This window comes from Homo sapiens, chromosome 3 (assembly GCF_000001405.40).
Source record: "Homo sapiens chromosome 3, GRCh38.p14 Primary Assembly".
Taxonomy (NCBI): domain Eukaryota; kingdom Metazoa; phylum Chordata; class Mammalia; order Primates; family Hominidae; genus Homo; species Homo sapiens.
In genome coordinates, this window is record NC_000003.12 from 47,460,754 (window position 1) to 47,475,054 (window position 14,301).

Sequence of the window (14,301 nt, forward strand, 5' to 3'; positions counted from 1 at the left end):
CACCATCCTGGCCAGGCTGGTCTTGAACTCCTGACCTCGTGATCCACCCGCCTCGACCTCCCAAAGTGCTGGGATTACAGGCGTGAGCCACTGCGCCCAGCAAGAACTCTTAATATAAACGTTGCATGGAAGAGGGTTCCAAACAGTGCAAAGAGGGGAGGAGTTTGTGAGGAGAAATGTGGCAAAGAAGAAAGCCAAGAGATGAGGCTCACCTGGGCCCCTTTTCCTTGGGGTGAGGGTCCAGGAGCCCCTAGAGCTCTCTCCAGCACACCAGACTTCACCGGCCCCTTCCACCACCTTATCTCCCAGGAGAGCCTCCCCTCTGTACCCCCTCCATGCCCACCAGCTTCTAAGAACCTTTCATCCTGCTCACCGCTGGCCCTAAGACTCCCTCCACACTCTTCAAGGCAAAGGGTGGTACTCTGGGCTCACAAACCTAAGTGCTATGGGTTCTTGTCAAGTCACAATGTGTGAAGCCTCACAGATAAACAAATCACATCTACATGGTGCTCATTCCCAAATATTTGGTCAAAGTCTAAAAAACAAAGATTTTGTTTCTGTCTCAAATTGTAAGGCCTGCTGTAAGTTTTAATTGCTTCTTTTTCATATCTATAATCTGGTACTAAGTAAAACTTTCCAGCTAACAGGACAACTGTGGACTGTGATATGCACTGGGACCACACAATTCTTCCAAATGTTCACAGTCACTTCTCAGACTGGAACTTGCTTGCCTTCCAGACATTTATAGAGACAAAGGAACAGAAAGCTACCAGATTTCAGAGCTAGGAGAGATGGGATCCTCCAGCACAATATCCTATTGGTAAGGAAGAAACTGAGGCTTAGGGAAGGTCATGCCAGATGACCCAGGTCATGTAGCAAATGACAACAATCAACACTCTGGTTCCAACTCCCAGCCCGGGGAACATTTCCATGACAGAGTTGATTCCCCAGCACCTCCCAACAAAATAATGTGTTTTAACCTATGTAAGAGCAGTCTAGGCCGGGCACGGTGGCTCACTCTTATAATCCTAGGACTCTCGGAGGCCGAGGCAAACAGATCACTTCAGGTCAGGAGTTTGAGACCAGCGTGAGCAACACGGTGAAACCCTATCTCTACTAAAAATACAAAAATTAGCCGAGCATGGTGACAGGCACCTATAATCCCAGCTACTTGGGAGGCTGAGACAGGAGAATCACTTAAACCCAGGAGGCAAAGGTTGCAGTGAGCTGAGATCACACTGCTGTACTCCAGCCTGGGCGACAGAGTGAGACTCCATCTCAAAAAAAAGCAATCTAGCATTCAGATTTAAATGTTTACTATAATCAGTGACAAAGTATTCTACTTCGTTTTGTGGTAAAAAAAAATTATTAACATAAACATCATTTTAACCCCTTTTAAGTGTACAGTTCAGTGGTATTAAGTACATTCATATTGTTGTGCAGCCATCACCACCATCCATCTTTTTTATCTTCCTAAACTGAAACCTTTTGTCTTAGCTAGGAGATCAACTTTTTCTTTTAACAAGTTTACTATATAACTTGTCAAAGGTTTTTCTGTAAAACAGTCATCTGACAGCCTCTGCCCCATCAGCTATACAACCTCTGCCCCATCGGCTATCTGTGTAGTAAAGGCACACGCAGTGAAGCCTCCATTCTTTCAATCTAAGGACCTGCCTGCTTGAAGACAGACTGTAAAACACCTTCATGGATGAGTTATGACTTATGATCAAACACCATCAGAGGCAGCCACTGAAAGGGCTGACCATAAAGACACTATGCTGAAATGAGAAACGCCTACAACCATCCTGGCTAACACGGTGAAACCCCGTCTCTACTAAAAATACAAAAAATTAGCCGGGCGTGGTGGCACATGCCTGTAATCCCAGCTACTCAGGAGGCTGAGGCAGGAGAATCGCTTGAACCTGAGAGGCGGAGGTTGCAGTGAGCCAAGATCGCGCCATTGCACCCCAGACTGGGCAATAAGAGCGAAACTCCGTCTCAAAAAAAAAAAAAAAAAAAAAGAAAGAAAGAAAGGAAAACACCTACTTATTTCCTAGTTGTGAGTGACATCATGTCCCTACTGATGTCCTAGAAGGTTGTGCTTCTCAGCCTCCCTTCCTGCTTCCCCATAGGCTTTGTTCCTGGCCTGCTTTCCTCATCTACCCTTTCTCCCCAGGGCTTCTCAGCCTGACTCCTGGCTCCAATTCTCATCTGTTTGCTGATGTCTCTTACATACACACCTCTCAAGCCTCTCCCCTAAGCTCCTTATTTACACTATTTCCACTTGGTATCTCCACTCAAATGCCTAATAAGCACTTCAAATCTAACAAGACCAAAAACAGAATTCTTGATTTCCCCACAGTAGCTGTTCTTTCCCAGCCATCTCAGTTAATTATACCACTAGCTACCCTGTTTATTCCTCCGGCGGAAAGTTTAGGAAACATCCTACAACAAGCCCACATCTGAAACAGCTGGTTACAACAGTTTTACCTCCAAGTCAGATCCCCAACCTGACCAACAATCATCATCTCCCTGGCTACTCTCCCATCACTGACCATGGGGACAGCAGGAATGCCTCTATTCATTCCTGCCTCATTCCATCCTCGATAAATCTTTCTAAAGCACAAATCACTAATGTCACTACCCTGCTCAAAACACTCCAGTGGGCCGGGGTGCGGTGGCTCGTGCCTGTAATCCCAGCACTTTGGGAGGCAGAGGCAGGCGGATCACTTGAGGTCAGGAGTTTGAGACCAGCCTGGCCAACATAGTGAAACCTTGTGTCTACTAAAAATACAAAAATTAGCTGGGTGTGGTAGTGCCTGTAATCCCAGCTACATGGGAAACTGAGGCACGAGAATAACTTGAACCCAGGAGTCAGAGGTTGCAGTGAGCTGAGAATGCATGACTGCACTCGAGCCTGGCAGCCTAAGTGACAAAGTGAGACTGTCCCTAAAAAAAAAACTAAAATTAAAAATTAAAAGAAAACAGGGGCTTAGCCTTGTTCACTGCTGAATCCCCAGAACTTTAACAGTGTCTGACACCTAGGAAGAATTCAATAAGCATCTGTTGACTTCTAAGTTTTTTGGTTTTTTGTTTTATTTTTGAGATAGGGTCTTGCTCTGTCACCCAGGCTGGATACAGTTGTACAATCGTGGCTCACTGCGGTCTCAACCTCCCAAGTGATCCTCCCATCTCAGCCTCTCACACTGCTGGGACTACAGGCATGAGCCACCACATCTGGCTAATTTATTTTATTTTATTTTTTAATATTTATTTATTTGAGACAGAGTCTCGCTCTGTCACCCAGGCTGGAGTACAGTGGCATGATCTCAGCTCACTGCAACCTCCGCCTCCCAGGTTCAAGCAATTCTCCTGCCTTAGCCTCCTGAGTAGCTGGGATTACAGGCGCTTCCCACTAAGCCTGGCTAATTTTTCTATTTTTAGTAGAGACGGGGTTTCACCATGTTAGTCAGGCTGGTCTTGAACTCCTGATCTCAGGTGATCCGCCTGCCTCGGCCTCTCAAAGTGCTGGGATTACAGGCGTGAGCCACTGCACCAGGCTTTTTTTATTTTTTGTAGAGATGAGGGTCTCACTATGTTGCCCAGGCTGGGACTGATTTGTGTTTTTTTTTTTAAAGTAGATATTAAACATACATCTCAGATGACAAGTGGAATTTATTCCCAAAGTGCAAGGATGGTTTAACAAAAATCAATTAAGGTAATATGCCACATTACTAGAATGAAGGAGAAAAACAATGATCATCCCAACTGATGCAGAAAAAGCATTTAACAAAATTCAAGATAACTTTTTGATTAAAAAATACTCAATGAAATAGGAATAGAAGGCAATATCCTCAACATAATAAAGGGGTATATATGAAAATCTCACAGCTTACATCACACTTGATGGTGAAAGACTAAAAGCTTTTCCCCTAAAATCAGGAACAAGACAAGGATGCCACTTCTATTTAATCCAGTACTGAAAAGTTTTAGCCAGAGAAATTAAGCAAGAACCTTCTCACTGCCTCATTTACCCTTTCTCTCCAGGCATCTCAACTGGACAGGAAGTAGTAAAATTATTTCCGTTCCTAGATGACATGATCTTACATGTAGAAAACCCTAAAGATTACACACACACACAGCTAATAAATGAATTCAACAAAGTTGTAGGATGCAAAATGAACATGCAAAAATCAGTTGCATTTCTATTGTTCACTGACAGTGAACAATCTAAAAACAAAATTAGGAAAACATTCCATTTATAATAGCATCAAAAAGAATAAAATACTTAGGAATAAATTTAAGCAAGGGAGACAAAAGACATAAACTGAAACATTGCTGAAACAAATTAAAGACGTAAAATAAAGGGAAAGAAATCCCACTTTCCCACTTTCATGGATTGGAAGATGATATTCTTTTTTTTTTTTCTTTTTTTTAGACAGAGTCTTGCTCTGTCACCCAGGCTGGAGTGCAGTGGCACAATCTCGGTTCACTGCAATCTCCGCCTCCCAGGTTCAAGCGATTCTCCTGTATCAGCCTCCTGAGTAACTGGGATTACAGGTGTATGCCACCACACCTGGATAATTTTTGTATTGTTAGTAGAGACAGGGTTTCACCATGTTGGCCAGGCTGGGAAGACAATATTCTTTAAATGACAACGTTATCCAAAGCTATCTACAAACGCAATCCATATCAAAATGCAATGCAATCCCTATCAAAATTCTAACAGCTGGCCAGGCACGGTGGCCCATGCCTGTAAACCCAGCACTTTGGGAGGTCAAGTGGGGAGGACTGCTTGAGCCCTGGAGTCCTCAAGACCAGCCTGGGCAACACAGTGAGACTCCATCTCTACAAAAAATTTTTTAATTAGCCAGGCACAGTAGTACATTCCTGTAGTCCCACCTACTTAGCAGGCTGAGGTGGGAGGATCACTTGAGCCTGGGAGCTCAAGGCTGTAGTGAGCAGTGACTGCGCCAATGCATTCCAGCCTAGGTGACAGAGCAAGACTCCGTCTCAAAAAAAAAAAAAGAATATTGTCTTCCAATCCATGAACGTGGGATTTCTTTCCATTTACTTGTTTAAAAAAACAAAAAAAAAAAAGCTGGGTGCAGTGGCCCACGCCTGTAATCCCACCACTTTGGGAGGCCAAGGCAGGTGGGTCATGAGGTCAAGAGATCGAGACCATCTTGGCCAACATGGTGAAACCCCGTCTCTACTAAAAATACAAAAATTAGCTGGGCGTGGTGGCAGGTGCCTGTAATATCAACTACTCAGGAGGCTGAGGCAGGAGAATCGCTTGAACCCAGGAGGTGGAGTTTGCAGTGAGCCAAGATTGCGTCACTGCACTCCAGCCTGACAACAGAGTGAGACTGTCTTAAAAACCAAAAAAAAAAAAAAAAAAAAAGAAAGAAATTCTCCCCATTACTTTGTCCAAAGAAAAAAGTGGGAACCCTGAATAGCCAAAACAAACTTGAAAAACAAGAACTAAGTTGAGGACTCACACTTCCTGATTTCAAAACTTACTATAAAGCTACAGTAAGCAGAACAATGTGGTACTGGCATAAGGTCAGACATATAAAACAATAGAGAGCCCAGATCTTCTGTAGTTCATCAGTATGATACCTGGGTGTTTCACACACATGTGAGATGAGTCATTCTTGAACCTTGTTATGATGTCAGCACTACCCATCTAACCTGAAAAAAAGAAAAGAAGAAGAAAAAAGAACCCAAAAATAAACTCTCACAAATATAATCAACTGATTTTTGACAAAGATGCCATGACCAGTCACTGGGGAAAGGACAGTCTCTTCAACAAATGCTACTGGGAAAACTGGATAGTTACACGCAAAAGTGAAGTTGGACTCTTATACACAAAAATTAACTCAAAATAGATCAAATAAATGAAAAAAGAAGAGCTAAAACTGTAAAGCCCTTAGAAGAAAATATAAGAAAAAGATCTTCATGATGCTGAGTTTAGCAAGGATTGAAAAGTATAGGCAACAAAAGAAAAAAATTGATAAACTGGAATTCATAAAAATTAAAAACTTTTGGCCGGGCGTGGTGGCTCACGCCTTAATCCTAGCACTTTGGGAAGCCAAGGCAAGCGGACTGCTTGAGCTCAGAAGTTTGAGACCAGCCTGGACAACATGGCAAGACCCCATATCTTAAAAAAAAATAAATACAAAAAAAATTAGCCAGGCATGGTGGTGTGCACCTGTAGTTTCAGCTACTTGAGAGGCTGAGGTGGGAGGACTGCTTGAGTCCAGGAAGTGGAGGCTGCAATGAGCCAACACTGTAGCACTGCACTCCACCCTGGGTGACTGAGGGAGACTCTGTCTTAAAAAAGAAAAAAAAAAAAAAGTTAAAAATTGTGCAAATCACACAATAAAGAGAGTGAAATGCTAACCAACAGAATGGGAGAAACTATTCACAAATCATATATCTAACAAGGGTTTAATATCCAGAATTTGTAAAGAATTCCTACAACTCAACAATAACAACAAAATAACAATTAATAACTCAAAGTGAGAAAAGGACTTGAATGAACATTTCTCTAAAGAAGATATACAGGCTCGGTGGGGTGGCTCATGCCTGTAATCCCACCACTTTGGAAGGCTGAGGTGGATGGGTCACTTGAGCTCAGGAGTTCAAGGCCAGCCTAGGCAACATGGTGAAACCCCATCTCCACAAAAAATATGAATATAAGCCAGGCATGGGGGCACATGCCTGCAGTCCCAGCTACTTGGAAGACTGAGGTGGGAGGATCACTTGGGACCAGAGGCTTGAGGCTGCAGTCAACTGTGATTGCGCCACTGCAGTCTGGGCAACAGAGCAAGAAGACCCCGTCTCAAGAAAAAGAAAAAGAAAAAAAAACCCAAACAACAACAAAAAAGAAGATATACAAATGGCCAATCAACATATGAAAAATTGCTCAACATCAATATTCCTTAGAAAATACAAATTGAAATCACAATGAGATACCAATTCCCACCCACTGGCCCTTGGGTACATGTGCACAACATACAGGTTTGTTACATATGCATACATGTGCCATGTTGGTGTGCTGCACCCGTTAACTCGTCATTTACATTAGGTTTATCTCCTAATGCTATCCCTCCCCCCTCCCCCCATCCCCCGGCAGGCCCTGGTGAGTGATGTTCCCATGTCCAGGTGTTCTCATTGTTCAATTCCCACCTATGAGTGAGAACATGCGGTGTTTGGTTTTCTGTCCTTGCGATAGTTTGCTCAGAATGATGGTTTCCAGCTTCATCCATGTACCTATAAAGGACATGAACTCACCTTTTTTTATGGCTGCATAGTATTCCATGGTGTATATGTGCCACATTTTCTTAATCCAGTCTATCATTGATGGACATTTGGGTTGGTTCCAAGTCTTTGCTATTGTGAATAGTGCCGTAATAAACATACGTGTGCATGTGCCTTTATAGCAGCATGATTTATAATCCTTTGGGTATATGCCCAGTAATGGGATGGCTGGGTCAAATGGTATTTCTAGTTCTAGATCCTTGAGGAATCGCCACACTGTCTTCCACAATGGTTGAACTAGTTTACAGTCCCACCAACAGTGTAAAAGGGTTCCTATTTCTCCACATCCTCTCCAGCACCTGTTGTTTCCTGACTTTTTAATGATCCCCATTCTAACTGGTGTGAGGGTATCTCATTGTGGTTTTGATTTGCATTTCTCTGATGGCCAGTGACGACAAGCATTTTTTCATGTGTCTGTTGGCTGCATAAATGTCTTCTTTTGAGAAGTGTCTGTTCATATGCTTCACCCACTTTTTGATAGGGTTGTTTGATTTTTTTCTTGTAAATCTGTTTAAGTTCTTTGTAGATTCTGGATATTAGCCCTTTGTCAGATGGGTAGATTGTAAAAATTTTCTCCCACTCTGTAGGTTGCCTGTTCAGTCTGATGGTAGTTTCTTTTGCTGTGTAGAAGCTCTTTAGTTTAATTAGATCCCATTTGTCAATTTTGGCTTTTGTTGCCATTGCTTTTGGTGTTTTAGTCATGAAGTCCTTGCCCATGCCTATGGCCTGAATGGTATTGCCTAGGTTTTCTTCTAGGGTTTTTATGGTTTTAGGTCTAACATTTAAGTCTTTAATCCATCTTGAATTGATTTTTGTATAAGGTGTAAGGAAGGGATCCAGTTTCAGCTTTCTACATATGGCTCCTGGATCGATAGTTTCTATGTAGAATAATGAAAACATTCTGGAAATGGATAGTGATGATGGTTGCATAACAATGTGAATACATTTAATGTCACTAAATAGTACACTTAAAAATGGTTAAAATGGGCCAGGCACGTTGGCTCACACCTGCAATCCCAGCACTTGGGGATGCCAAGGTGGGCAGATCACTTGAGGTCAGGAGTTCAAGACCAGCCTGGCCAACATGGTGAAACCCTATCTCTACAAAAAATACAAAAATTAGCCGGGTGTGGTGGCACATGCCTGTAGTCCCAGCTACTTGGTAAGCTGAGACAGAAGAATCGCTTGAACCGGGAGGCAAAGGTTGCGGTGAGCAGAGACCACGCCGTTGCATTCCAGCTTGAGTGACAAGGAGACTCCGTCTCAAAAAAAAAATCACCAAATAATTTTTGTTTGTTTGTTTTGAGAGTCTTGTTCGGTCACCCAGGCTGGAGTGCTGTGACACGATCCTGGCTCACTGCAACCTTTACCTCTGGGTCCAAACAATTCTTCCTCAGCTTCCCAAGTAGCTAGAATTACAGGTGCGTGCCACCATGACCCTGCTAATTTTTGTATTTTTAGTACAGGCAAGGTTTCACCATGTTGGCCAAGCTGGTCTTGAACTTCTGACCTCAAGTGATCCACCCACCTTGGCCTCCCAAAGTGCTGGGATTACAGGCATGAGCCACTGCACCCAGCCACCAAATAATTTTAAAAGTATAATGAGAAGAGGCTTGCCTGCCACCATGTAAGACATGCCTTTGCTCCTCTTTCACCTTCTGCCATGATTGTGAGGCCTCCCCAGCCATGTGGAACTTATATTCATTGCTCAACAAGGAAGAGACTTGCAAGGCTATTACCCTGGGCAGTTGGCAAGACTCCATTTTGATCATAGTGCAAAGAGAGCTCTCAGATTGGAACAAGAAATTAGCCACAGATTCACTGAATCCTTGACCTCTTAGTTCACTGCCACAGCTCTACTATTGTGAAGAGAGAAGCGGTTTTGAAAGAAATGCTTTTAAATTAAAATAACCAAGGCATTCGAACAAAATATCGTTTGGCATTCTTAGGTAACTCTTTTAGACTAATGTAATGGTAGCAAAACTACTTTTAAGTGTGTATACAGATGGCTCTAATCCTAAAATATTTACATGCTGCAAATTATTTTCAGATTAAGTTGGTCAGCTTACAACAGGGGATCAAGAGCTAGCCTTAAGAGAACTTGTTTTTTACCCCATTACCAGTCTTATTGCTGATGCTGGCAAACCATCATACATTTAGGCCAATGGTTATATGTAGGCTCAGGTAAGAAGATTACTGCATCTGCTCAGTAAGTGCATCACCGTTGGGAAAAATAAAAAAGAACCTAGGGGACATAGCCAATGAGGAAGAAGACTGGCACTAGAGACCCTAAAGGGGCTTGGGATGGAGAAACCCAGGTGTAGCATAGGGCTATAGTGAGATGTGGGACTGGTAAAAAGGATTAAGTGAACATCTGTACACAGGAGTTAACACCCTTATCTGGGCAAGAAGAAAGCCTGACAACTAGGCATCAGCTCCTCAGGCAGAAAGCTAAAGGGTCTTCTCTAAGGACAGGAAAGGATCCCAAAGAAAAGAACCTTTGCGGGGCGCAGTGGCTCACGCCTATAATCCCAACACTTTGGGAGGCCGAGGCAGGCAGATCACCGGAGGTCAGGAGTTCAAGACTAGCCTGGCCAACATGGTGAAATCCCATCTACTAAAAGTACAAAAACTAGCCAGGTGTGGTGGCAGGTGCCTGTAATCCCAGCTACTTGGGAGGCTGAGGCAGGAGAGTCGCTTGAACCCAGGGGGGCGAAGGTTGCAGTGAGCCGAGATCGCACCACTGCACTCCAGCCTGGGCGACAAGAGCAAGACTCTGTTTCAAGAAAAAAACAAAAAAACCTTACCAGTTCCCCAGCATACTAGTGGGCTCCCTCCTCATTTACCCCAAAGTAACACCTATCAATTAATAAACTTCTCCCCCCAAAAAAAAGTATAATGAGGATTAAAGGATATAGATGAAACAAGAGTGTCCCCAAGTTAATGACTAAGTGACAGACATAACTGAGTGATAGGTACACAAGGGCTTATTGCTCTCTATTTGGATGTATATTTGAGTTTTACTATAATAAATATTAAAAAACAAACAAGTCTTCAAAATGTGCAAAGCTTTTCAAGAATTTATCCCCTTACAAATTTTAGCAAAAATGAGTACAGAAGAGGAGGCAGGGAAAGGCAAGGCTCAGAGGGATTCAACAGTATAAAAAATAAAATAAAATAAGAATAAGAACAAAGATTTGGCTATAAGAATACAATCACAGTAATATTTAGAACGGGAAGGAAATGTGTTATGTATTTTATAGTAAAACCTGAGACAAAGAGCAGAAACCATTAAAAACAATCTAGACGATTAAAACACTTAAGCACAAGCTGGAAGACCCTGGATACAAACTTGACTCTGAGCTTCCTAGTGGCCAAGGCAGAGAGAGGAAAACATCAACATAGTTCTAGTATACTTAGAGGTATACTACAGGCGCATGCCACCACACCTGGCTAACTTTTGTATTTATAGTGGAGACGGGGTTTCACACATGTTGGTCAGGCTGGTCTCGAACTCCTGACCTCAGGTGATCCACCCTCCTCAGCCTCCCAAAGTGCTGAGATTACAGGCATGAGCCACTGTGCCTGGCCAACACCTTGTATATTTTATGCTTTCTGAAAATGCTAAATATCAAATAAGCCACTGGTTCCCAAATGTTTTGATCATGAATGCCCAACAACAAAAATTCAAGTATATGCTCCCAATACATGTACACTTACATATAAATTATATATGTACTACAGTGATAATACAGTGTACATTATAAAGTACATAATAAAAATTATTATGGTGGTTCATGCCTGTAATCCCAGCACTTTGGGAGGTTAAGGTGGGTGGATCACTTGAGGCCAGGAGTTTGAGACCAGCCTAACCAATATGGTGAAACCCCATCTCTACTAAAAATACAAAATTAGCCAGGTGTGGTGGTGCACAGCTGTAATCCCAGCTACTCGGGAGGCTGAGGCAGGAGACCAAGATTGCAGTAAACCAAGATAGCATCAATGCACTCCAGCCTGGGCAACAGATTGAGTGAGACTCCATCTCAAAAAAATAATAATAATAATTAAATGGGGCCGGGCGCGGTGGCTCACGCCTGTAATCCCAGCACTTTGGGAGGCCGAGGCGAGTGGATCATGAGGTCAGGAGATCGAGACCATCCTGGCTAACAAGGTGAAACCCCGTCTCTACTAAAAATACAAAAAAATTAGCCGGGCGCGGTGGCGGGCGCCTGTAGTCCCAGCTACTCGGGAGGCTGAGGCAGGAGAATGGCGTAAACCCGGGAAGCGGAGCTTGCAGTGAGCCGAGATTGCGCCACTGCAGTCCGCAGTCCGGCCTGGGCGACAGAGCGAGACTCCGTCTCAAAAAAAAAAAATAAAATAAAATAATAATAATAATAATAATAATTAAATGAAGCTGAAATAAACAGGAAAATTAGTTTTATTTTTTTCCTGAGATCCACGTGCATCTTTATGCTTACATACCAACTTTGGACCCCACTGCAAAGCTTCCTTATGATTTAGCATCCCTGCAACCATTCTAGGTTAGTGCCCTTGACTGCTTAAGCAGAAACTGTCAAATGGCAGTGGTCAAATTGCTGTCACCTTCTTGCTGAGTTCCACCATCCCCACACTAGAGTCAGTGACGCTGGCTTCCTCCCACCACCCCTACCACCTTCTTCCACTACCCTTACCTGCCAATGAGCAACAGAAAAGACTGTGGGCTGCGTGCAGTGGCTCACGCCTGTAATCCCAGCACTTTGGGAGGCCGAGGCGGGCGGATCACCTGAGATCGGGAGTCTGAGACCAGCCTGACCAATAGGGAGAAACCTCGCCTCTACTAAAAATACAAAATTAGCCAGGCGTGGTAGTGCATGCCTGTAATCCCAGCTACTCAGGAGGCTGAGGCAGGAGAATCGCTTGAACCTGGGAGGCGGAGGTTGCAGTGAGCTGAGATCACGCCATTGCACTCCAGCCTGGGCAAGAAGAGCGAAACTCCATCTCAAAAAAAAAAAAAAAAAAACAGACTGTGGAAGCAGGTACAAGAACAGCATAAAAGGATGGACTCTTTTGTCAGCCAAATCTCAGTTTGCACACAACACACTCCGTCTCAAATTCGCTAGGTGACCCAGGGCCAGTCAAATAACTTTTCTAAAACTCTCCGTAAAGGGGGTGATAACAGTGTTATCTCACCTGGTTATTATGAAAACTAAGTGAGATAAGCTAATATTACAGTACCTAGGACACTGCCTAAACAGCACAAGTGCTCGATATCACCCAGAATTATTACTCTGAGTGGCAAAAGACGACACCTGAACCTTGTTTCTTTAGCCAACTCAGTAAGGTAGCAAGTTCTAACGGAAGGAGCTCAGGTGGCAGAGGTGTGGCAGACCTGGTTTGAAGGATGATCCACCCTTGACAAGCTGGGTGACCTTGTAAGAACCCAGCTTCTCTATGAGGAGTCCTCTCATCTGTTCAACGGGGGTGATGACACAAACTGTATATGAAGTACCTGTCAGAGCCGGTAAAACACTGGCAACCACCAATGGTGAGAGTAAGCAAACAGCACATGAACCTGTCATTCCAGGATCCCTGAGGCACATTCACATGCATGGCTAGATTCTGAGAGAGAAAACATCCCTAAAGTCTACCACCAAATGTTAATATACATACCTGCAGTGAAGCCCACAGGCACACTTTTTCTTTCCTTTTTTAGTTTATTTAATTCCTGAATCGCATATGCCTCCATTTTTCTAGTAATAAACTTGTAGTAAACTTTTTACCCACCTAATGACAGTGACTGAGGGAACGGGGGAAGGGCCCCAAACCAGTGATTATAAAGTCCACGGAGATCTCTAGAGAGGGGGCGTTTTTGCCGCAACAGCAAAAGAAAAGAGAGAGCATTCAAGCCAGGCGCGGTGGCTCACGCCTGTAATCCCAGCACTTTGGGAGGCCGAAGCGGACGGATCATGAGGTCAGGAGATAGAGACGATCCTGGCTAACACGGTGAAACCCCGTCTCTACTAAAAATACAAAAAAGTAGCCGGGCATGGTGGCGGGCGCCTGTAGTCCCAGCTACTTGGGAGGCTGAGGCAGGAGAATCGCTTGAACCCGGCAGGCGGAGGGTGCAGTGAGCCGAGATGGCGCCACTGCACTCCAGCCTGGGCGACAGAGCGAGACTCCATCTCAAAAAAAAAAAGAAAGAAAGAAAAGAGAGAGCATTCAAACATCAGATCAGTTCATAATAAATTTAAAAAGCCTAATTCTTTCCATTTCAATTTATGACCAAAAGAATAAATATGGAAATATATTTATACAGTGTTAAATATATTTATATAGTGTTTTTTACATCATGTGCTCAGTGGGAATACTGCAAATGTGTAAAACACCTAAAATGTAAACTATATTAACACACATTTTAAAAGATACAGGTCTTGGCCGGGCACGGTGGTTCACGCCTGTAATACCAACACTTTGGGAGGCCAAGGCTTGTATAATGCTTGAGCCCAGGAGTTAAAGACCAGCCTGGGCAACACAGCAAGACCCCCATCTCTACAAAAAAATACAAAAATTAGCCGGGCGTGGTGGCACACACCTGCTGTCCCAGCTACTGGGGAGGCTGAGGTGGGAGGATCACCTGAGCCCAGGAAATCAAGGCTGCAGTGAGCCGAGATCGCGCCACTGCACTCCAGCCTGGGAGACAGAGTGAGACCCTGTCTCCAAACAAACAAACAAAAAACAAGTCTTTAGGCATCACTGAGGAACACCTAAAATGGATACAGCACTAACTAGACACCCTCGACCCTGACTCCCTAATAAAAGCGTCAGTCTTTTGCTCAATATCCTGACCTGACAGCAAACCAATAAAGACACGGCATAACCAAACTCCACAAATTTTTGGCCAAATAAAAGAAACACACGCAACGCTAACATTAAACCTTTTCTATGGCCGCTTCACGATAAGTATTACAAAATCCC

At 43.6% G+C, this 14,301-nt stretch overlaps 1 protein-coding gene, 1 non-coding gene and 1 pseudogene across 10 annotated transcripts in view, besides 1 other annotated feature; 2 read left to right on the forward strand and 1 right to left on the reverse strand.

The window, feature by feature from the left end:
- The window catches only part of SCAP (SREBF chaperone), a 63,447-nt gene that overhangs the window by 47,073 nt on the left and 2,073 nt on the right, over nucleotides 1-14,301 (reverse strand). For 2 of the 9 annotated variants that reach the window (XM_047447737.1, XM_047447732.1), the window contains exons 1-2: nucleotides 7,300-8,264; nucleotides 5,623-5,694 (exon numbers count right to left, since the gene is read on the reverse strand). The exons of 6 other annotated variants lie outside the window; for them this stretch is intronic. The gene's annotated coding sequence lies outside the window, so the exon portion shown is untranslated. Of the gene's footprint in view, nucleotides 1-5,622; nucleotides 5,695-7,299; nucleotides 10,763-14,301 lie in introns of those variants that run through there. One more of the 9 variants, XM_047447739.1, reaches the window with a different exon arrangement.
- LOC124906372 (small nucleolar RNA U13) lies at nucleotides 5,596-5,695 on the forward strand. The gene has a single exon (XR_007096339.1). It is a non-coding gene; the product is annotated as a small nucleolar RNA U13 (small nucleolar RNA).
- Nucleotides 6,183-6,284: a silencer, noted in NCBI's record as "fragment chr3:47508426-47508527 (GRCh37/hg19 assembly coordinates)". NCBI's record gives its function as "represses an EF-1alpha promoter that drives an FKBP-Casp9 reporter gene in an ReSE screen in phorbol 12-myristate 13-acetate-treated (for megakaryocytic differentiation) K562 erythroleukemia cells {active_cell/tissue: K562(+PMA)}" and the evidence as "EXISTENCE:reporter gene assay evidence [ECO:0000049][PMID:32094911]".
- Nucleotides 9,024-9,234, forward strand: SPMIP3P1 (SPMIP3 pseudogene 1; annotated as a pseudogene).